The sequence below is a fragment of the Homo sapiens genome, chromosome 4, assembly GCF_000001405.40.
Source record: "Homo sapiens chromosome 4, GRCh38.p14 Primary Assembly".
NCBI classification, from domain to species: Eukaryota; Metazoa; Chordata; class Mammalia; order Primates; family Hominidae; genus Homo; species Homo sapiens.
Window position 1 is genome coordinate 115,354,427 of NC_000004.12, and position 25,894 is coordinate 115,380,320.

Genomic DNA, 25,894 nt, shown 5'->3' on the forward strand with positions numbered 1-25,894 from the left:
TCCTCGCAGTGTGTTTTTCACCTATATCCGGTCAGTTACATCCTTCTCTGTACTGTTTGTCAGCTCGTGACATTTTTTTATCATGATTTTTAGCTTCCTTGTATTGGGTTACAACATATTCCTGGAGCTCAATGAGCTTTATTGCTATCCATATTCCGAATTCTGTTTATCTCATTTTAGCTATTTCAGCCTCAGCTTCGTTCCGAACACTTGCTGTAGTTGTAACACAATCATATGGAAGAAAAAAGGCACTCTGGCCTTTTGAGTTTTCAGCATTCTTGTGATGAATTTTTCTTATTTTTGTGGGCTTATCTACCTTCAATCTTTGAGGTTGCTGACCTTTGGATAGGTTTTTCTTTCCTTTATCCTATTTGATAACCTTGAGAGTTTAATTGTAGTATAGGGTAGATTCAGCCAACTGGCTTTATTTCTGGGAGATTTTAGGGGTCCAACTCTCAGCTTCCAACTCTCTGAATGTGTGCTCTACGTCTGTGGAACTTGTATTGGGCCCTGAATTGATTCTCTGGCTCCCTGATGTTTGAAGTCCACTGTGCTGGGGAGCCGAGGAATGGCAGCTGCATTCGAGTGTTAGTGAATGAAGAGGTGCCTGCTTCCCTGTGGTGTTCTGCACAGTGGCAGATACAAGGCAGCTGGGAGTGGGGAGTGGGTGCCCCTGCTAGAGACTGAGTTCTGTTGCAATGGAGGTGGTGTTGGCTTGGGGTGGGGTGCTGGCCAGTGCAGACCTGGGTGCCTTCTCTGTTTCCCAAAAGCAGGAGTGATCACTCAAGGTATGGGAGGATTCCCTGTTCTCTGCACAGCCTTAGCCCAAGGGTGGACCACTGGTGGGGGTGGGGCTTGCTGGCTCTGTGCCCACCAAAGACTCTGCCTGCAATGCCAGTTGGTGGGGGATGAAGAGCATACTGAATTCCCAAGTCCTGGAGGAGCAAGTAAAGCAAAACCTGTCTGTGCAGACACTCACTGGCAAAGTGATGTGGGGAGTTGCCCTGGGCTCCAGGGAGGCTACAGTATAGGGCTGGTGTGCAGCCATGTGGTCTCCCTTGCTGCAGCTCTCCACTGATCAGGCAAGGTCCACCAGGCATGGAAGCTGTGGTGTGGGCTCCAGGGCACCTCAGACTTCCCTGTAAGAAGGCATGGCTAGGCTGGGGCCCCAGGATTGGTAAACAGACCAAGGAGTTCTCCGGTCAGAACAACCCCATCTGATGTACAACACCACCCTGCAGAGATTAGGTCTGACGGTTCCCCTAGGGCTAACGTCTCTTATGGGAACAAGTTGAGCCTAGGGAGACACCCATCCCCAGCCATGCTCCATTGCAGGCACTCTTACACCAAACCTCCTGGGCTGCACATCAGCTGGTTTCCTGCCCTACCACTTCTCTAAGCAGCTCTCCCTGCCGCCTCAAGTGCCTGTAGTGGTTGAGTAGTCCCTTCAGGCTGAGGTTCCAGAGTCATGTGGGGAGAGCAGGTTGTTCTTTATCAGTTCAACTCACCAGTTCTCCCAGAGCTGTTACACTTCATAAAAGAGTCCTAGTGTGCAATAGCCCATGCAGGGTTCCCAGCTTTATCTCCCTTCAGCTCAGCTTCTTTGTCTTCCCTTTGTCCACTCTCAGCACCTTCCCTCTGAAGATCTGTTAAAAGCACACCAGTCATCTCAGTCCCTCCATGGGAGCTGTTCCACTTGTCTGCAACTAGTCAGCCATCTCCATTCATGTTATCTCTGTAATATTTCTTAAAACTGTACACAAACCAGGGAAACATGTTGTCTCAGAAAGGTTGGCCTAGGCCTGGTGACCCAAGTCACCCAGGACCAGTACAATTGGGAACATGGGCAGCATGGCTGCCATTGCTGCAGAAAAAGTCCTAGAATTTGGAGCATTCAGGAACAGGCCAATAACGTGTTGCTTCACCACTAGGAAGCCTCCGGGCATTCCTGTCCAGGGATAATCTTTTATTCATAAGATGACTAATGTGGAGGCATTGGATCCTATCTCAGTTCGGAGCCCATAAGAAATTGGTTTAGGAATTATGCAGATGCACTAGCCCTTTATCTTGAGAATTTAGAGAATAGTTTCAAAAAGAATCAAATGGCCAGCGAGTGTAACGAAGGCAAATTCACTCAACATTCATTCCTTATTTTAAAAAAGTCAATTTATTCAATATAAATGTCATAAAGTCCTAATTTGTGTTGAGCACATAATTCTTCTGGGGCCTCTAAAAAATGCAAAGCACAAAATATATGATGGCAATGCAGAAGTGCAGAGGAAGCAGAAGAGTGAAAGTATTTGCCACAGTAAACTAAGGTAAATTTTTAAAAAATCTTCATTATATTGTTAGTGAATTGCAAGAAAACATGGACTCTATGAATTAATAGATGCAGAGTACAATGTTCAGTAAGAGATTTAAAAAGATAATGAGACATAGAGAAAAAATTAAATGTTAGAATGGGCTAGAATACATAGCAATAAATCTAAAAATACAACAAAAAATTGAAACCTATTATTAAAAATAAATTTATGAATTAAGATCTTACAAACTCAAATTAAAGAACAAAATAGAACAATTCTCAATATGTTATGAAATATGACAAAAGGAAGAAAAAGGCCACAAATTATAGTGAAAAATGGAATATAGAAAATGAAAATTCAAGGTAATATACAGGTCACTGATGTTCATTTGTTCATGGGGCCTTTAATTATTTTTTACCAGGCCCTATGCTGATCAATATAGATACATCAATAAACTAAACAAGAATAGTTCTAATCTTTCAGAAACATATATTTGTGTGGCATACAGTAATAATAACAATTATTATTACTTTAATGAAATAAATATAAATTTAGAAAAGTGCTATTTTGTCAGAGTTTCTATCTAATTTAATCAGAAAATAGTTTATCATGGGTTAATAAGAAGTTGAAGAATCACTGCAAGGCCTAAAGAAAGCAACTCCAAATTGAATTTTAGGAAAGACTCGCTAATTTATACTGCAAAGCTGAGAACCCAAGGGGAACGCTGCCTTAGTGGATTGAATAGTGGCCTCCAAAAGGAAATCTCTACATCCTGGAAATTGTGAACGCAATTTTGAGAAAAAGTGTTTGTTTATGTGGTTAATTTAAATATCTTAAAATGAGATTATCTTGAATTATCTGGATGAGCTCTAAACCCAGTGACAAGTGTCATGAGAGACACAGAAGAGAAGTTTACCTGAAGACTCAGACAGAGATTGGAGTGGTGCAGCCACAAGAAATGCTGCCAGCCACCAGAAGCTGGAAGAGACAGGGAATAGATTATCCTCTGGAATCTTTGGAGGAAGAATAGTCTTGCCTCTACTTAATTTTGGAGATCTGACTTTCAGAACTGTGAGAAAATAAATTTCTGTTGTTTTAAGCTACCAAATTTATGGTAATTTGTTTAGGTAGCCCTAAAAAACAGATACATTGTCTTTTCTAGGATTAGGAAACCACATAGCAAACTGCCTCTACAGCTGCTGGCTCCACAGGATACCACAATGAGCATCTCCCACAATCAAGAGACCTGCTATAGCCAAGGGGCACTATCTCTGCTGCTGTCTGCAGAATCAGCCTACATTAGCTAGAAATGGATGATGATTACCAGTAAACATATCCATGGTAGTTCTATGAAAGAAGCAATCAGAAGCAGATTGAGATAGAGAGTTACAGAATGAGGCTAGAGGTATGGGCCTGAATGAAAACAACTTGCAGGATGGATGAGAAAGTATTTTCTGAGAATAAGACATTGTGTTTAAAATTTGAGAATGTGAGAAGAAATGTAAAACAATATTTTTAAACCCAAGAGAGAACTGAATCTGCAGAGCCAAAGGAATAAAAAAATACCAGGGGGAATAAAGAATAGATAATAATTTCCTATGGTTTAAATTTCTGTCCCCATAAAAACACATGTGGAAATTTAATTCCCATTGTAATCATTAAGAGGTGATTAGGTTATGAGGGCTCCACCCTCATGGATGGAACTGGTGCTTTTATAATAGTAAAAGTTCCCTGTGGCCCTCTCTTTGCTCTGTCATCTTCTGCCATGTGATTACACAGCAAGAAGGCCCTTACTGAATTCCGGTCTTAGACTTCCCAATACCTATAACTGTGAGAAAATAAATTTCTGTTCATTATAAATTACTCAATCTGCGGTAGTCTATTGTGGCAGCACAAAATGGATGAAGATATCATTAAAAGATATACTGGTGGAGATTTTTAATTGTAGGGATTCTTTTAAGAAGATAGGGTTTCTAATGATAGGTAGGCAGTAAAAATAAAGATGTATATAAAGAATAACATGTATGGTATATTTAATGGCAAAGAAAAATATATAATCAACCAATGCATTGCTTCCTATATTGAGATAGATTTGATATCCCTCTCCAAAAAATATATATATTTTACATAAGTAAATACACATATGTTATATATATACGTATATATATAATATTTTTTATATAGTCAACAGAACACAATAGTATGTTTAGTGACATAGGCAATTTATATTCTGGCTTAAAATTTATGTATCTTCACAAATTAAAAACATTTTGCAGGCTGGCATTCTGAGTAAAACTATCATTGTGATTATAATCACAAAACAAAAACAAGGATGCTCACTTTCACCATTGTTATTGAACATAGTACTTGAAGTCCTAGCTAGAGCAATTAGACAAGATAAAGAAATAAAGGGCATCCAAATTGGAAAGGAAGAAGTCAATTTATCCTTCTTTGCAGATGTCATAATCTTATATTTAGAAAAACATCAAGACTCCACCAAAAATAAATAAATAAATAAATGCCAGAACTGACAAATTCAGTAAATGTGCGGGATACAAAATTAGCACACAAAAATCATTAACATTTCTATATTCCAACATTGAACAATCTGAAAAAGAAATAATAAAATAATCCCATTTACAATAGCTACAAATAAAATTAAGTACCTAGGAATTAACCAGAAGTGAAAGATTGCCACAATGAAAACTCTAAAGCACTGATAAAAGAAATTGAAGAAGACCCTGAAACATGGAAATGTATTTCAGATTCAATACAATCTCTATGAAAATACCAATGACATTCTTCACCTAAATAAAAAAAAATTCTAAAATTTATATGGAACCACAAAAGAACCAGATTAGTCAAAGCTATCCTGAGCAAAAGAACAAAACTGGGTGGATCACATTATCTGACTTCAAATTATGCTACAGAGCTATGGTAACCAAACAGCATAATTTTTAGTTTGCTTGTTTGTTTGTTTGCTTTTGGTGAAAAGTATTAGATTTTAAACTTCCTGCTTTGACCTTTACTAGTTTTCTGTTTGTGCTACATAATTGACATTCTGAAATTTTTCTGAACCATGATCCAGGGAGTTCAGAATATTTTCTTTTTACATTCTCATGTGTAGTATTCTACTTATCCTAACCCAGCTCTCCTTGTCTTTGTGCACCTTATTTTTATATAGCAAAAGATTTCCATGAACTTCTTGAGACAATGCTTATGGGAGGCAATTTTTAAGCTTTATGAAGGTATTGAAGGAGAGGGTTTTGCAAAATGTTCAGAAGCTCTTTTTTGTGCATGTTAAGTTTATGATGCATTTTTGATATTCTGATGGATATATTGAGTAGATAATGGCTTATTCAATTCTAGAATACAGAGGAAATGTTTGAGTTATAGTTAATATATGGGCGACATTTATATATTTATGTAAATTATAGCCTCATGACTGGACAAAATGACAAAGATGTGTAAAGAAAAAGAAAGATAATAAATCTACTATCTAAATGGGGCATTTAGACATAAAGAATGGGGACGATAGAAACAAGCAAAAAAATTTGTAAAGTATTAACCAGTGTGGAAAATAGAGAGAACTGTATGCACTGGAAACCAGAGTTTAAAAGGAAGCAATTATTTGTAGATTATTATTTTTAGCAATTAAAAGACCTCTTCTAGACCTGTGGAGTACAGTTGAATTCACACTCAAAAACTCTCTGTTCATTCAGAACAGCAAACGTGAAGCATAAAAAAATCAATTCTCAAACAAAATACCTATATCTTAGTAGAATAGAAACAGATAAATAAACAGAAAACAAAGACTGAAGCCATGGGCTTGCTCAATTTAGATCCTGAAACAGGCAGAGGTTGTAAAATATGTTTAAAATGTTTGTGGAAAAGAAGACAAAGTGTACTGGCACAGAACTGGGAGCCATTAGATGACTCACTGCTTAAAGACAACGGTCTTTTGAACTCATTAGATAGATCCTTAAAAAGGCTGTTAAACTGTTCATTGGAATCTAAAAAAGTCATGGAAAAAACAACAGTCTGGCTTCTAGGGGCCAATTGAACTTCTGTGTGAGATAGAGCCTGTCATATTTTACACCTGCAAATGCTAAAGAGAAAAAGATGAGTAGAGTAAAAATAAAGAGAGTTTTAAAAAACACAAGGTTTGCATTGCAAAATATCAAAACACAGAAATCAATGGTAGCCAACAAATTAAAAAATCAGAGATACCATGTTTTCAAACAAAATTTCTAAATTATATTCCATCAAAGATTTTATAATAAACATATGGGACATGTTCCATTATTACAAATTTTAAAAGCATAGCATGTATTTTTTAAAAGATCATAAAATAAAAACAGGGAGAAAAAAATAATATCTAATACATGTGTAAAAAAGAGGTGATACCCGCTTTGGAAATAAAATGTATAGTCATAAAATAAGAAATGCAAGAGATAAAATGAACTCTACACTTTACGCATAAAACAACAAAATAATCAGTTAGAAGAAGCTCAGCCAGATGCATGTATATAAAAATATGAACATTCACATAAGAGGCATGAAGTTGATTAACTCAATATTCTTTTAGTGGAAGTTTCAAATGAATAAACTGTAGGAGATGAGATAACAGCAATACCTGAAAATATATTTGCAAAAAATTTTCTAGAATCAAATCAAGAAATCAGTCTCAGGTTGAGCAAGATAAAAAATAATAATATCATGCCAAACAAATTTTATTAAAACTACAGAATGTCCAAGATAAAGAAAACAATTTAAAAGCTGTCCAAAAAGAACAGATTATATACAAATAATGAAGGAATAATGCTTCCTTCTCAGCAGCCATTGAGGTAGATAAAAGACATGGCAGTAATATCTTCAAAGGGTTGTGGAATTCTTAAACACAGCCAAATTAATGTTCAAGATAGGGGCAAAATAAAGATACCTTCAGACTTACTAAAGACCAACAACGATTATAAATCCCAGATTTTTATTAAAATTTATATTAAAAGGCGTTATTACTAAATACAAATTCGAACACAGAGAGAATACATAATATACAAGAAACACAGTTACCCCATAATTTGATGAAGTTGATAAATGTAATTACCTATTGATATAATTTGCATACATATTTTTAAAGGAATATGACTAACACAAATGATCAAGATAAAATATTAAAAGATAATGACAAAAGTAAATGGACAGTGTATCCAAATGGTATTTTAAGATTGTGAAATTTCTCAAGATGACTCAGAAGATGATTTGAAATGCTAAGTGGCACTTCAGTTAAAGTTTTCAGCATAAGGCTAAAGAAAAAATTATCTAACTAGAAAAATATTTACCAAAAATAACATCAACAGCCAATTTTTGAAAAACTGTGGTAACAATATTGGCATAAGTGAAAAAGATTTTAAAGCAAAAAGGAATAATTAGAAATAAAAAAAGGAACATAATACAATAATTAAAGAGAAGCCCAATAAAATGCTATAGTGATCATATATTGGTATGTTCCTGATGGTATAGTTTCAAAATATAAAAAGTGAGAAATGGGAATTTTCAGAAGTTGACAAATGGATAAACATAATAAAAATTCTATGGTAATAGTCTAAGTAATTTAATTGATAAAACAAAGACGATTTAGAAATAGGAGCTTTGAATACAAACCTTAATTAACAATTTAAAAGATGCATAACGTGTGATCCCTAGTGTATACATGTATACATACATACGTATATATATATAGCCCCTTTATATAGTGGCTATATATTATCACTTGTTAAATTGTTAATTAAATTTGATATTTGTGATGTTATGTATAAATGCATAAAGATATATTAATACACATACAAACATACATGTATAAACATACTAATATATCCTTACAAACATATACATAATGAGCTTACATATAATATACATTGTGTATACATGGTATATGCATACAGAAAATACTTGAGATTTACATTAAATTATGTATCGAATGAATATTGGTTCATTTTAAGAAGATTGTGACTCCCATTAAAGAAATATTTGCCAATGAATGAATATAAATGGTCAAGCTTTTGTTTACAGGTTATTTTTAAGAACTACGTTAGATTTATTGTTGAATTGGTCTTGAAAAAGAACTTAAAATTCTTTGCTTCTGGTATTATAAAATCACAACCATTTCCTTTCTCATTTCTGCACAGTCTGTCTCACTTTATGACATGTCTTCATTCTGACCAAGCTATTCATTTATCTTTCAAATTTGTTATTCTATAAATCAATATCACTGCTGTGTCTGTAAGGTCCTCATTTCATTTCCAGCTCCTTACCCATCATTTGACTTCCACTATTTCTTTGAGTTCTGGATCTGCCTCCCTTACCTGAAGAAAACTCCAATGACCTAATTTGAATTAACATGCCTTTTCCAATCACCTGTTTCACTTAGTTGATTAAATGCTGTGGTTTATTAATATATATACTTATTGAAAAATTCCAAGTGAAATTATACGGTGTTGAATTATACAATGTTGAAAGCCTCTATGTGGTAACTACATATTACTTGTATACTTCAGACCCATGTATACATTCATATTCAGTGCAGGCACACAGAGTGGTGTTTCTTAAGGCCCAATGAACCCAAACCAATATATTAATAAGATTCTTTTTTATTGGAAAATTCTGAAATGTAACATATTGAATATGTGCCTTTCATTGAAATATAAAGGTTAAAATAATTTTTTTCAATATTTTTGCTCTAAGTCATAATTTTAATGTGAATATACTTGTGCCTATGCTTTTCAGGAATTCTAATTCACATTAATGTGAATTCAACTCACATTAATAATTTTCTTAAACACTGGAATTAATAAGTTATTAAAAATGTTTAGCAAACATCTCAAAATACTTAGTTATCAAGACCAATAATTCTAGGGACATTCTTGGTTGAATGAGTATGCACCACTTGTGACTCAGTAAATGTATTTAGTAATCCCTAATATTATTGAGGTTTTACATCCTTAGCATATCTTATTTTCTGATAACTCAATTTCTAAGAGATGTTAAGTAACATATTTTAGTAAACCACATAACTAATAATTGATAGAACAAGTGTGTGAATCCCAGCGATCTAGCCCAATAGATCCACTTTTAATCCCTACTCTATACTGAGCTGAAAAATTGTATGTGTTTCTGAATTGATATTATGTTTCTTTTTTATTTATATAAATTTATGGGATAGAAGCATATTTTTGTTATATGTATATATATATATATATAGATTATGTAGTGATCAAGTATTTTTCTTAATATTAAAATTGTCTTTCCAAATGGGCAAAATTATTTCAAATATATGACTAATCATAATGGAAAGGTTGGCCAATGATCTCTTTATGTATTTAGCTTTAAGCACTTGAATTATGAATCTTACAGTAGAAAATGACCTTGAAAATTATTTTGTCTAATACCCCTAACAAAATGATGAGGAAATTTGGGTCCCAAATAAATAACTTCCAAATTTCATCCAAATATTTTCTGAATTGTTAAAAATAGCCTGGCATTTCTTTGCTTCTTTCTAGCACTTGTAATATCTGTTTGATACATGGCTAGGGCAAAATACATATCCTGTTTTTTTTGTGTGTTCTATAAACCAAGTAAATATGCTGTCTAATCCATGTTAGATAATAGACCCATTGGAGATAAAATAATTATAAGAAAATCAAATCATTATGAGTGCACATTTATTTTCTATTATCTTTTAATAATAAACTTTAACTAGAACCTTACCTGGACATATTCATTTACCTTCTACTTAGGTTGAAGTAATCATTACATGTTTGGATTAATGCCTACTTAATATGAAAGTTCAAAATATTTGTGAGTATGAGATTATATTTTACAAATATCAAATTTTCCTAAGTACATAATTTACAATATAAATCTGATTAACTATTGACATGGGTTTCTCTTGCAAGATAATTCTCCTGACTTTTGAGAAGATTCTAAAATTCCTGGAATTAAGTCCCCCAGTACCCTTGGCTGCTTCATATAAATGACAGTTGAACCAGCAGACAATAGCAAATAGAGGGTTTATTTCTATAATACATATAGAATTATATATATGTAAGAATTTTATATAATAAAAGTCTAATATATATTAGAATTATATATAATAAAAAATATAATTAAACCAACTATACTTTGTTAAATTTTAGCATTAAATATGGTTTAACTACATGTTCATCATTAAATTAAAAATGAAGTTTTAAAACAAGTAAAGAAATGTAGATAGAAAACAAACTTGGGAAGCAAATTGCTCCTGTATCATTATTCTGTACATTGCCCTGTGGCTGGGATTTCCACCATAAAGCATTTTCTCCAAAATATAATTTCCATTAAATATTCTTATCAATATTTCTATCAAATTAAAATACCCATTTAAGCCTTACATTATCAATTTGACAAAACAAGTAGATCAACAGAGTTAATAGAATTTTATAAACATGTATCTTAGTCCAGAAAATGACACTGTTGTATTTGAAAATATGAGAAAAGACAAAGCTCAATCACCAACTGATGGCAGTGGCAGCCCATCTGGAGTGGCCACTGCCAAGTCACTGGCTGCAGCAGGGGCGGTGTGGCTGGGGCTGCTCACTGCACAGAGCTGGTGGGAGCTGGGAACAGGTGGGAAACCCATGCGCTTCTGGGTTGGAGGGCCTGGAGTCTCACCCTCCCAGGCGTAGCTGCAGCTGCCCAGTCACTACTGTGGACCCCAGAATTCCTGCACTCTTAGGGGCCCAGGAAGCCCCACTTCCTCTACAGGCTCAGAAGAGCCTGCTCCAGCCATCTGGCCTCTCCTTGCTCTAGGACCCTGCTCTGATTTTGAAGTGACCAGCAGGGTGTACGTGCACTCAGAGCAGCACTGACACACCAGCCTCCTGCTGCCTTGTCCCCCTCCAGACTTTGGGCACCAACGAGCATGGGAGGGAGGCCAACAGGGGGCTACGGGCAGATTGGTGTGGGCCTGCAGTTGCCCCTTGGCATGAACAGCCTGGGGACCATGGGAGCCATAGGTGGCAGGTTGATGGCAGCAGGAGGCTCACAGGCTCCTGGGCAGAAAGAGGTGGGTCCCTCATGAAGCCCCACCTTCAAGTCAGGGATGGCCTGAAGCAGGAGCCAAGTTGCCAGTTCCCTGAATGGAGTAAGAACTTATGGTGCTTTTTCTGGTCCACCCATGGCCTACCATGGACCAATCAGCATGCACTTCCTCCCCTCTGAAGCTCATAAAAACCCCAGGCTCAGCCAGACTTTGTCAGATGACAGGATGACCTGCCTGTGAGTAGGAACTACACACTCCAGGTCTCCTCTTCACTGAGAGCTACACTCATCAGGAAAACCTGCCCGCAGAAAGGAGCTACCTATTTTGGGTCTCCTGAGAGCTGCACTATTGCTCAATAAAGCACCTCTTCTCCTTGCTCACCCTCCAGTTGTCCAGGTACCTCACTCTTCCTGGACACGGGATGAGACCTGCCAAATGGTGGAAGTGAAAGCTGTAACACAAACAGGGCTGAAACACACACCCCCACTAGCCATGTTGCTGGTGAAGAGAAGGAGAGAAGAGCTGTGACTCTTCGGAGATCCCAGACCCGGGAGCTTCCTGAGCCAGGGTTGTGACACACTCTTTGGGGTACTGCAGTTCCTGGCATCTCCAAGCTTCCAGGTGCCACTGCATTCCCTAGTGCCCTCAGTGGAACCCACTTGCAATATGCCTAGTCTGGCTGCAGCCTCGCGGAGAGCCAGTGCCTTTGCCAGTGCCTGGAGCTGCCTGCCCCTCCACAGCTGGCATGCTGGGCTGTGTGAAGTGGCTGGACCCTAGGTTCACTCACTCATGCACCCCACACTGCGACCCTAGGTTCACTCACTCATGCACCCCACACTGCTGCACACCTGGCTCACCCATGGCAGGTGTCAGATCCGGGCTGATAGTGCAAGCTGAGCACAGTTTGCCAGGCCAAGTGGGTGGAATGAGCCCAGTGGGCCTGAGTAAAACTTGGGCAAAGGTGCCACTGGCCAAAGAGGATTCCTGCTGGTGAAGTGACACCCCCAGGATCCCGTGACACAAGTAAAGTTTTATTTGTTAGGATGTGATAAAAGATGAGGAGGCAAAGAAAGTAAAAACTTAGTAAATTATGAAAACTTTGCAATGTCTTCCACATTAGGATAGCAAGATGACTTTCAGTATCTATTTAAATATTTTACTGTGTGTAACACAGCCTGAAGTGTACTGTGCCTTTTAGAGTTGATTCAGGATTCTGGACAGCCATCCTTCAAAGCCAGTATTCTCTATGCTACTTTCTCATCTACCATAAGAAATCCAGAGAACATACTCTAGTCTTAAAAGAGGCAGAACATGCCATTAATGAAAAGAACACTGATTCCATAAAGTTTCATTCATGTTTTAATTTTGACATATCTTGTCCTTAAAGTTCAAGCTGCTCTTTCTTTCAGGTTGCTTTGATGATGCTTCATGATTTAATTCTACATGACATTGTGTTTAAAGTGCTTAGCTCAGTGTCTGACCAACAGTTCAATAAATGCTTAACAATACTTTTTCTTAACTGTAGTATCATCATTTTATTTAATGTATTTCCATGGACTTAACATTCAAAACTATTATTAATTTTAAAATAATTTCAACATTTATTATATATATATTTAATATATATTTATTTAAAGCCATTCCATTATACTATATATTTTATAAGTTCATAGTGGTCCAAAATATAATTTAATTAATACTTAACATTATATTTTCATCTTTTTAAAAATTGCTTACAAAATAATCATGATAGGTATTATAGGAGTTTTGATAAACAATAATTTATCTTCTGATTTCAGAGTCACAGTGGTCAAACATCTCAGGACAAAAATTATCTAATCCAGAAAAGAATTATGTTGGCAACTATGCTTGCCTAATTAACCATAGCATTGCCACACAAAACATACTAAATAGAGGAAAATATATTGTATAACTTCATGTGACAATGAACATAGATCTTAATATGTTTTATGAATATGTATATTTACACTAGTTATTGCTTTTATATTTCTCTTAGACACACCCACCTATCATCCCATGGAAATATTGTTTGAATATTATTGAAAAATAAAAGTTGCATATACATGTGATTAAAAAGTTAAAACAATATAATCCTTAGCATAAAGTTATCCTCTTTTAAATGGCTCCTGCATCTACTTCTGGAAAGATAAACCACATCTTCCTATTACCTGTTTGTTTGTTTCTAATTTTCTCCTCTTAAATTTTCTTTGTAGTATAAATTACATATATTTTTTCTGTATTTTAGCTTTTAATAGTAACCATAAATCTTAAGAATATTCCATATCAGCACATGCAGATATAACTTATTAGTTACACTGCTGTAAATGATCAATTACTCAGTTTATTTATCAACATTTTAGATATAAACTGATTGTTGTTATTTCAAGTTAAGCTAAATCATAATACATCTTGGATAACTTTTATGAGTACATTCATGAAAGGTAATGTCTTCATAACAGAGTTGCTGTGTCAACCGTTACATGTATTAAAATTTTACGTTTTAGTAGATAATACCAAATTGCTTTCCAGAAAATTTGTACCAAGTTATACTTACAACTAATTGTATTTTACCATACCGATTTCCCCATATTTAAGTATAATATAAATATTTTAATTTAAATTATAGTTTACCAAATGAAAGCAGTAGTACTGTGCTTGGAGACCAAAGGGCTCATACAACTAATCTGTATGCTTGTGAATCATATCTGCCACAATAAAATATATTCTCACAGGAAAGCCTTTTTTCTTTCCTGTGCAATAAGCTATTACTCTGGTATCTCCTGTTATTTGTGAGGGTAGAATAAGAAGTAAGGCTTATGAATCTGACAAAGCTTTGGTTAAAATCTATATTGATACAAAGCTCATTCACTTTGCATTTGCTTAAAAATACTCTAACTTCATTTGGGTGGGTTACCTGCATAAGGTTCACTTGAATTCTACTTGTCATCCACCCCCACTGTTTTCCCAGAATTGCTTCTATCAAGAATATTGGAAAATATCTAGAAGCCTGAAGCTTTCCCAAGGCTGCTTTATACTGGAATGCAAGGTAGTGATTGATATGAGACACTATCATTCGCAGAAACTCTGCAAAATAAAGATTAGTTTCTCCATCAAAATCAGTGTAACTTTCACCAAGGGAGTGCTCAGGCAAGTTTCAATAACTTCACATTTTTCCTCAGATTTTATTAGGAGCAACTGAGTTATGCAACTATTGGAATGTTGTTGCACTGACCCACCCCTGCCCAAGTTCACTTTCTGTAACTTAAAAATGTCATAAACAGCAAAAGGCAAAACAAAACAAGATAAATTTTTTGAATTTTATATTGCAGCTATAAGCTAGACTGTTCATATATAGATACAAAAATGTTAAAAGTCCCAGTGTTTTAGAGTGAAATGACATGAGCACCTGTTTTCAGAAATAACTTTTTAATTATATGACATATTTCCCATTGATTAACTTAAAATGTGAGTAATGAGTTCTAAATTAGATATTGGTATCCTTCAGGCTAGTAGTTTTTCTAAGCATAAAATTCTATTGAACCTGTGTCTGGCTTACTGTACATGAGAATAGAGTGCAATCCATTATCAGGGAAGGCAAAGCCATTAGACTCCTCATGCATTCAATTAGGCTATTACTTTATCTATCTTAATTGATACTGCTAATAGTATCATATATAATTGCTCTACATAGAAGAAAATGTGCTTGTTAATGAGTCTTGGCTAATTCAAAGAATGACATTTAAATACTACTAGTAAAACTGTACATAGGTCCAAAATCAATATGTGACCTCTCCTTAGTCTTACAGCAGGTGGTGGAAAACAGTAATTTAAATTGGTTGATGATAATTTAAAATGAATTCCAGTGTATTTCAGTATGTTTTCAGGTCAATAAGTTTTGTTTTGTTTTCTTTTTCTTTTTCTTTTCAGGAATTATACAGAAATATAAATTTGAGATATATATCAATGACCAAATAGTCCTAAAATTGAAATCACTGTTTTATATAAACCTCTGTGCTTATGTTACAAGAAATAGGCTCAAAGAAAATTTCAGATCTTAACAAATGTAAACAAGTCAAAACAACTAGAAATATTAATACTCTCCAGCCTCTTTGAACTTAAAAAATCTACTGTGTGCAGTAAAATACTGGGTAGAAATATGAAGACTAGAGACTATGTTTTAAATATATGACATCTAAAAATATTGGTCTTCAGTTAATACAAGTTGCCTCATAAGTGTAAATTAAGCATTTTTTTCTAGCCTTTTAACTCTTTTCATCAATAAAATGCTATTTAACCCAGCTTTATAAAATACAATAGTTTCTTTCAAAGAAATAAGTTATGCAATGCAAAAATATCTCAGGGGCACGCCGACGCAGAATGTAGTCTTGAAGTCCATTGTTCTGATACTAAGGGTGAAGTATGTTCTGAATCTGGAGAAGAGAACTCCCCAATTCTCTGCAGTAGGTAACTGTACATGGGGAGGATGGGTCCTGGGGAGAGAACAAAGGGTCATAGGATATTTTTGTTTGAAAGATATACTCTCCTACTCCTTAGAATTGCCTGGTAAAATGTTTATTAAATTTTGTTTTATTAAGTCATAGCACTGTTGTAACTGAAAAGAAATTCAGCTGTAAAGAAATTTAGGTCTTAGAAAGATCATTTGATTTGTCCAAGGCCTTATCTAACCAGTTATTCCTTAAAATAGAATTGGATTCAGTATTCTTGAGAACATACTTTAATTTTTGGTGGGGTACTTAGATCACTGAACCATGAACTCAATTTAGAAAAAAATTGCATAATATTGTGCTTTTTCAGTCAATTTAAGTAACGCATTTGACATGTTTTCAATCTGGAGAGAGCATATTTACAGTCACTTTGCAAAAGCAGTTTTAAAAATGCTTCATTTCTGACACTAAGTGCCCTCGCTTCAGACCTTTATACATGTTATCAAGTATTTCTACTAGTTCTTCCCAATGGAAACCACGAACAGCCTACAGCATTTTTACTGACTTTCACTCTCTGAACAGTTATTTTGCTACTAGACTGGAAAATGAGTGAAGAAAAAATTGGCAAAAAAGGGCATATCTCTATTTTCCAGCTCAGTAAGATTCTCTAAATGTGACATAAATTCTAAGTGGTACAGCATATAATATTTGAAGAGTGCTGTGGACTTGAACACTAGATATGTCTGTTTCTTTTTACAGATAAAAAAAATTGAAAACATAGAGGACATTTCAAACTTTATTGCAAAATCACAAATATGTAATTATCCTACAGCTATTCTTTGTTTTGTTCAGAACAGATTGATAATTGAATAACACATGCTCATTATGAGAAAATCTCAGTTTTTTCCTTATGGGTAATCACCTCTATTTCTGTGTCTTATTTCTGTTTCTCTGAACATGGTTTTGACTGGAATTTAGTTGTTTATTTTTGGGGAAGGAGACAAAATATCTATACCATGTACAAGATATAGTGTGGACTGATGTTTTAATTATTTTTCCTTTTATCACAGAACTATTACAGGCAGTTTTAAATATCTAAAAACTCCAGTGTATGTGCTGAGATCAGCTACTGAAGTGCTTATCAGAAGTGTATTTACAGTTAACTTAGGCTACACAAAACCAGGAAAGTTTCAGAAGGTAATATTTGCTTAAAAATACTCTAACTTCATTTGGGTGGGTTACCTGCATAAGGTTCACTTGAATTCTATTTGTTATCCACCCTCACTGTTTTCCCAGAATTGCTTTTATCAAGAATACTGGAAAATATCTAGAAGCCTGAAGCTTTCCCAAGGCTGCTTTATGCTTGAATGCAAGGTAGTGATCGATATGAGATGCTATGATTTGCAGAAACTCTGCAAAATAAAGATTAGTTTCTCCATCAAAATCAGCGTAACCAGTATAGATGCCAGGTTAAAATACACCAGAAAAAGAACTCATTCATACAGGTGGGTAAGCATAGCTCTAGAGAAAGAAAAGTATGATGTCTTAACATATTGCTTTTGGATCTTCCTGCATTCTTTTAAGTGCTTGCTCAGTCCCTTCAATATAAACCACATCTGTCTCATATTTGGTAGAAATGTTCCTAAAATTTTAATAAAAATATTTTACATTAACTACATCACTTTTATACCCTCCTGACATTCTCAATTAAGTCTCCAGATGTATAATAAAAGCACCAAAAATAAATAATACATAAAAACTAAATTTAAATAGTTCAAGTTTGAAAGAAATAATTTATGATTTTATCTATAGATGTACTGATAAAAGCATATTTGGAAAATCTAGGTGACCTTGGGTTAGGCAATGACTTCTTGATACAATACCAAAACATAATTCGTGAAAGAAAAAAATTGATAGGTTGAAATTCATTGAAATTGAAAACTTCTGCACTGCAAAAAAAGTGTCAACAATAATAAAACAAGTCATAAATTGGGAAATAGCATTTGCAAAACATATATCCGATAAAGGACTGGTATCCAAACCTTACAAAGAACTCTCAAAACTCAACAGTAAGAAACCAAGCAACATATTTTCAAAAACATGGGTAAAATATCTGAACAGTTTACCAAAGAAGACATATAGATGGCAAAAATGCTCAATATCATATGCCATTAGGATATTACAAATTAAAACCACAATTAGATACCACTATACACTTATCAAAATGATCAGAATTCAAAACAGACAACACCAAATTCTGGTGAGAATGTGAAGCAACAGGAAATCACATTTGTTGCTAGTGGGAATGCAAAATGCTATAGCCTTTTTGAAAGACAGTTTGGTGGTTTCTTATAAAACTATACATTCTCTTACCCTTTGATCCAGCAATTGTTCTCCTTGTTATTTACCTAAATGAGTTGAAAACCTTTGTCCACATAAAAATGTGACCACTCCCATGTTTATAAGCAGTCTTATTTGTAGTTGTTGAAAAATGGGGGGAAAAAACAAGATATCCTTCAACAGTTTAATAGATAAGCAAATTGATTTATCTGTACAATAGAATATCATTCAGTGATAAAAAGAAAAGAATGAGTTATCAAACCGTGAAAACATATGGAAAAAACCTTAAATGCATATTGTTAAGTGAAAGAAGCCTATCTGAAAAGAGTGCATACAATGTAATTCCAACTATTTGACATCTGGAAAGGGGAAAACCATGAAACAGAGAAAAGATAAGTGGTTGCCGTGGGTTCTGCCAGGGGAAGGAGGAATTCATAGGTTGAGCCCAGAGGATTTTTAGGGCAGTGAAACTGCCTGTGTGATATGGCAATGGTGGATATGTGTCATTGTATGTTGTGCATTCTTCAAAATCTGTAGAATGTACAACACAAAGAGTGAAACTTAAACTACAGATTTTAAATAGTAATGTATCAATATTATCTCATCAATTATAACAAATGTACTGCACTAATGCAGGAAGTTAACAGAGGAAACATAGGGTAAGAAGGTATAATGAGGTATGTAGGAACTCTCGGAACTATCTACTCAATTTTTGTGTTAATTTAAAACTGCCATCAAAAATAATGTCTATACAAAAATGTGTATTTGAGTCACTATTGCAATACCTATTAACTATGTGATCTGTTGCATTATAATTTAATCCTTTAAGTCTTGTGTTTTAGTTCATAGCTTTCAGAATAAAAAAAGTAAAATTTACACATTGTTTTTACTAAAATTAAAATGCATTTAAAATTTATGATGCTGTGTCTAATATATACTAAGTGCCCAACAAATGGTAGCTAGTTTTATTATTATGAATAATTTTCTTACTCAATCGATTTATTTTTAATACCATAAAAATAAATTCTGTCTTAGGGTTGATTATGTTGCAACCACATATGCATTTCAAAAATTAGGAAAAACTGTGCTAATACACTCTCCATCCTCTGTTGTTTTCCTGTTGCAAGCAAAATATTCCCTAAATTAATGAGGAATATTCTTGCCAGGCAGAAATAGATAGACGATAGATAGACAGATAGAAAATAGTCAGACAGACAGGTAGATAGATAGATAGATAGATAGATAGATAGATAGATAGATAGACAGACAGATAGGCAGACAGAACTAATCCTGCTGTTGATAGCTAGCTAGACAGGGGAGAGTGAATCTGCCCCTCATCTGATTATAGGCTGACAAGTTGCTTTCCACCTACCTTTTTTTTTGTATCTTGTTCTCTGTCTTACTTCTATTGATGGAAGATTGTGGGACTGTACCTGTACCTACTCTTTTTTATGGGTTTGATCCATGTTCTGAAGCAGGATGCTCTAATTGGCTCTTTCTTGCCTGGACCCAAGGTATTTGAGCACCAAGTATGAAATTTGAAATTAAAGAAAATTCTAAAGTCTAATCTATCTGCTCAAATAACTTTATCTTAACCAAATATTTGTCTCATTTCAATGTCATACTCTAAAAAACATATTTCTGTGATGAAAGAAAATTTGTATGTTAAGTATTATTAAATTTCTTAAACAGGGAATGTGTACTATGATTTGATTTCAGCCTGTTTTACGCTGATTTCTGTGTAACTATTGATGACAATAATTTCTAGGAAGTGGGGTGCAAATCTTTTTTTTCTCAAAAGTGCAAATCTTAAATATCACCACAACTTCTCATGGGTGTGATGAGGTAAATGATATATACTCAAGTTAAATTTTAACTTTCTCCTTACTTTAAAATAAAAACAAAAGAAAATTTAAAAAATATATACACATATGTATGTATATGTCATATATATGTGTGTGCATATATATAAATATATATATATATATATATATATATATAGCATTCATGGAATATACTACAGTATTCCCCCCTTATCCATGGTTTCACTTTCCAAAATTTCAGTTACCCAGCATCAATTGCAGTCTGAAACTGCTAAATAGAAAATTCCAAAATTAAACATTCATAAGTTTTAAATTGCACGATTATGAGTAGCGTGATGAAATCTCATGCGTTTCATTCCATTCCACGCAAGACATGAATCCTCCCTTTGTCTACTGTATCCATACTATACATGCCACCCTCTTATTAGTCACTTAGTAGCTGTCTAAGTTATCAGATCTACTGTTGTGTTCTCACAGTGCTGGTGTTCAATTAACCCTTATTTTACTTAATAATGACTCCAAAGTGTAACAATGTTGATGCTGACATATTGTTATAATTGTTCTGTTATTATTATTGTTATTAATCACTTGCTGTGCCTAATGTATAAATTAAACTTTATCATAGGTATGTGTGTATAGGAACAAACACAGAATATATAGAGCTCAGTACTATTCATGGTTTCAGGCATCCCCTGGGTGTCTTGGAACGTATTCCCCAGGGACAAAGAAGGGGTACAGTATCATCTGCCCTACTGAGGATTCCACACATAATGAAAGAAGAAGTCTTACATCTTACGAGTTAGTTAGAGAAAAATAATAACTTTTCAAAGGTAGAGTCAAGGTGAGAAATTATATTATTTGACGTCTTATTGAATCCTGAAAGAACTATATGATTCATTTTTCCTGAAACAAAATCATTGATATGTCCCTCTAGTATGGACTGAATGTTTGTGTCACTGTAACACTCACTGTGAAGGTATCTGGAGAACAGGTCTTTGGAAGGTAATTAGGGTTAGATGAGGTCATAAAGATGGGCTCCTCATGATTAGTGTTCTTAAAAGAGGAGACACAGGAGGGCTTAGTCTCTCTCCCTCTGCAAACATAAGAGCATACAGAGGGAGCATACAGTGAGATCATAAGAACATACATGAGAAGACCATCTACAAGCCAAGAGAAGATGCCTCAGAATAAAACCCACTTCACCAGAACCTTCCAAGGCCCTAGAGCTGTGAAAAATACATTTCTGTTGTTTAAGGCACTCAGCCTTTGATATTTTGTTATGGCAGCCCAAGCAGACTAACACAGCCTCCCATTATCTGACACATTTTATTAATAAAGTTATCTCTATAACACTTATAATTCACTCTCTAACAGCACATTATATGTGATATCAGCACATCTAGAAGGTAATCTTCTAGGGATTTGTCTCATTTATCCCTACATATCTAGTAATTAGAACACTGTCTGGCTATTGTGGGTACCAAATAAACAGTTTTGAAATAAATCAGTAAAAAATCAAGAGGCTAAAGCCATCTTCTGCAGAATTCAATTATTGGCTTAACTTTCTGTGATCATTTCTTGTTCTGTTTTGTCATTAAAATATATTCTGAGAATACATTTACCAGTGAAAAATCTTAAGATTCTTTAACAAGCATGTCTATACCTCCTTGCTTCAATATAATGATGAAGAGGACAGGGGCAGAGAAAGAGGGAGAATACTGTGTTATTGAAGATTGAATAATACCTTATAAGACTACTAAATGGAACCTTTGCGAACCCTCAATCAATGTAAGAACTAAAACATAGCTAACAATCTTGAAGTTCACCGTATGCTCCTTCACGATCCTATATCCCATTTTGCTGGCTATCCTTCATATGACTAAGCTCACATTCATATTTTCATCACCCTGTCTCTCAGTCCTCTATTCCAATATATTTATTTACTTCTACCTTCCAATTAATGATTCTGTTTTTGCTTGCTGATTTTAACTTCATCATCATCTTCTTCTTCATTTTTTTTTTTTTTTTTTTAGATGGAATCTTACTCTGTCGTCCAGGCTGAAATGCAGTGGCATGATCTCGGCTCACTGCCACCTCCCTCTCCTAGGCTCAAGTGATTCTTCTGCCTCAGCCTCCGAAGTAGCTGGGATTTCAGGCTCCCGCCACCACGCCCGGCTAATTTTTGTATTTTCAGTAGAGACGGGGTTTCATCGTGTTGGTCAGGCTGGTCTCAAACTCCTGAACGCAGGTGATCTGCCCGCCTCGGCCTGCCAAAGTGCTGACATTACAGGCATGAGCCACTGCACTCAGCCTTCATCTTCATTTTTAAATGTGTCAGGCTTAGATGTTTTATATTCTTGTAATATAATTCTTTATGTATTATTTATATAATCTAAAGCTACAGTTTCTGCTGAAGCTCATTATAAGACATATTCTTTCATGGTTGATTATTCTCTTTTTACTGGTCCAACATATTAGATTGTACCCAATTTGTGACAACACTAAGAGACTAAATTAGAAATTCTTTCTCCCAAGAATTGAGATTTGCTTTTGTCCAGGAGTCAATGGGCACTGACGCAACCATGTGGCATGCTGTGGGGGCCCTAGTTTAATGTGGGCATCTGAGTACTGGCTCCTACATGTTGTTGCTGACCGCAGGCTTAGTCTCTTAATCCCAAAGCAAGTATCTGTAGCTTCAACACTAGTTTTGTGTTTGCTTATTGCTCATAATTCAGGTCTTTGCCTTTTGTTTGATTTGTTTATGTTTATTGCAAACCCAGCAATGTTTTAAACATTAGAAATAGAATGGTTTTTTAACCTTTTTTATCTTGTTAAAGTTAACTCTCATTTTTCTGCATTGCAGAGCTCTAACTGCTGTGCATATCTAGTTAGGCCCACATTCTTGAAAATGTGTGCCCCGGATCCAGGAAAGAATGTGGGACTGTGTATATATGCACACTCACGCACATACATCTTGCAAAACTTCATTTATCTCTTCCAGGAATTTCCTGAAGCCCTACTCTAAAGGAACCCTTGGCTACCTTTTTGTGACAATCAAAAGACTTTCTCTTACTATCTTCTGAGAATATTTTCCCTCAAAAATATTCCTTCTTGGCAATAGATCATTATCAATGGCCCTTTCTCAGTTTTGCTGCTATTAGCAATCACCGACTGTGGTAATAACAGAGGCACAGGCATCAAACTTGCTTCCCTGCAGCTGGGAGATTGGAATGCATTTGTTCCCCCTCCTCTAGTCCACCTTTTCCCTCGGCCCACAGGACTAACTGTGCAAGGCTTTATCTAAAGAAAATAAATTAATTCTCTGTAGGAACGATAGTTTAATATCTAAGTATCTTAGAATTTCACCTAGATCTCTCTGGTGAGTAACCCCCTTTTAAATACTTAGAGTTTCACAATAAAGAATACCCTGTGGACATTTCTTGCTTCTATTCCTGACCTGGCTTTTATGCCCAATTGATAGCATTTTCTTCAGTTCTCTTAGACCACCAGTCCTACTACCCTTCTTTGAAAATATTCAATCTCCTCTATAGGAAGACACCGGGTTCTTTAAGCAGTCTTCTTTCTCCTTTTTCCCTAATAAAGTTTTATTCTTTTTCATGTGGTCTCCATCAAAACTAATTACCGTCACCTTTTTTCACTTCTTGTTAGAGAGGTTAGGTGTTGGAATGATGAGAGGCAGATGATGAGGAGAGGACTTTTTATGCCTCAGTGCCATGGGCTATGATTAATGTGTCCCTCACTTTGCTATTTCTCACTTTCCGCCTTTGAGTATTAAGGTCCTCCAGGTTAACTTGTTAAAGCCACATTCACTTTTTCCTAGAGAAAAATTTGGTAAATTAAGGAAAACAAATATTGCCTAGTGGTGATACTGTTTACTTACCCAAAGAAAAATGTATTTATTTTACTGAAAGGTGCTTCACTCCTTTCTGTGCTTTTTTGAGATTAACATGAACACAAATGAGCTTATTGAATTACCATGGCAATATTCTTGTTAAAAGAAATAATGACACTCTCGATTAATTTCTTTTGATTCCTTTTTTGATAGAAGACTAGAAGGGGTTATTACATTCTCAAGCAGTACTTGTTACTAGATAACAATATGCCCAAACTAAGGCCACCTGATCACGTTCTCCAGCTCCTCTTCTCTCAGTTCCTTGCTTTGTACCTTCCTCCACCTGATATAAGTCTTTTCTTGCTGCATCTGAGGATTCTCCCTTCTCAGTCATTGGATATTCAAGCAATGAAACTCCAGTTGGCATGGACAAAAACTTTCTCATAGTTATGTATGGCCTTAAAAGCAGTCCTTGAAGACAGTGTTGCATTAGTCTGATTTGCCTCACAAGTACATCTTAAACTATTTCTAAGAATTCATCATGAACATTTTTGATATAGCAAATAATATCCACAATGATTTTTAAATAAAGTCTCCATTATGGAAAAAAAACTTGATTAACTTTTGTAAACCTGTTAATAGCCTGCTTCTTTTCATACCATCTTGAATTAAAGACTACCCTGTTGAAGATGACGGCTTGAATACTACGTGTACTTCCTAAGTCCTCTCCTTTCGCAGACTCTTGGAAATGGCATTTATATGGACTTTATATATAATAATAATTGTAGTCAGAGAAAAGCTAATAGAAAATGATGTAGCTTTATATATTAAACAATCCCTTTGTGTTCTTTTTTTTAATCATTATATTTTTTCTATTTCAGAATATATGGATTTTGTTGTTTTCACCAGTCTATACACTATATCATTAGATTTCCATCAGAAACTTTCTATAGAATTAGTTTTTAAAAATATTATCAGAGGATGTTCCTGAAAGAATACATTTCTAGAGTTAGAGAATAGGCCCATAGGTGTACATTTAGATGAGGTTAATATTAGGTATGATTACATAATATGTAAAACATCTGAAAGTATATAAAATCCTTCTTAAATAATTTTAATTATATATTCTATGCTAACTGAGTAAGGCTTATCTTTCTATTTGATATGTTATATATTTTATAAGGTTTGTTTTTTAGCAGTGGTTCTCAAAATAAAGTCCCCAGATCAGGAGCATCAATATCATTAGGGAACATTTTAGAAAGGCAAATTTTCTCAGCCCCACCTGGAACTCAGAATAAAATGGGAAACATAAGGATAGGAGCCCAATAATGTGTGCTTTAATAAGCCCTCCATGTTATTCTGATGTATGAAATTTGGGAACCATTGCTTTAGTGCTACTATGCCTAAATTATCAAGGCTTTCCTTCAGTGAAGAAAATCACTGATCTCTCTTTAGTTGCTTTTTCTATCCTCTAAAGCCATGTATAACAGAAAGCAGTCTCTTTTATGACATGTAGCTTTGAAAACTTACTGCATAAAAATGAGTCTGAAGCATTAGAAGCCCAAGACAATAAAAATATACCTGAAAACAGGTTTAATTTAAAAATCCACTATTTTATGCTTTCACTTCTATCAAATACTCAATTTATCCAATATAATCTACAATATTTCATAATTTAAAAAGCTTTGTTTTATCTTATCCCTAGTCTTTTTATTGTAAATTCCATTGGTATATTTTCTATTTTGGAAAAACTTTGTAGCTGCAAGAGAATTTGTGGTTTCAATTTGAGGAAATGTGAAAATGAATCAAGATAATCTAAATCAACTGTCTACCTTCCTTCCTAAAACCCCATTTATTAAATATATGTTTTATACATCTGTAAAATCACATTTTAAGTCCTATGTTAATATGTTATATATATAATTCCATGTAACATTATATAACAAATACCATTTATATGCATAAACTGAATTATATAATTATATATATAATATGTTTGTGTTCATGTGTGCACATGCATATGTGTTTCA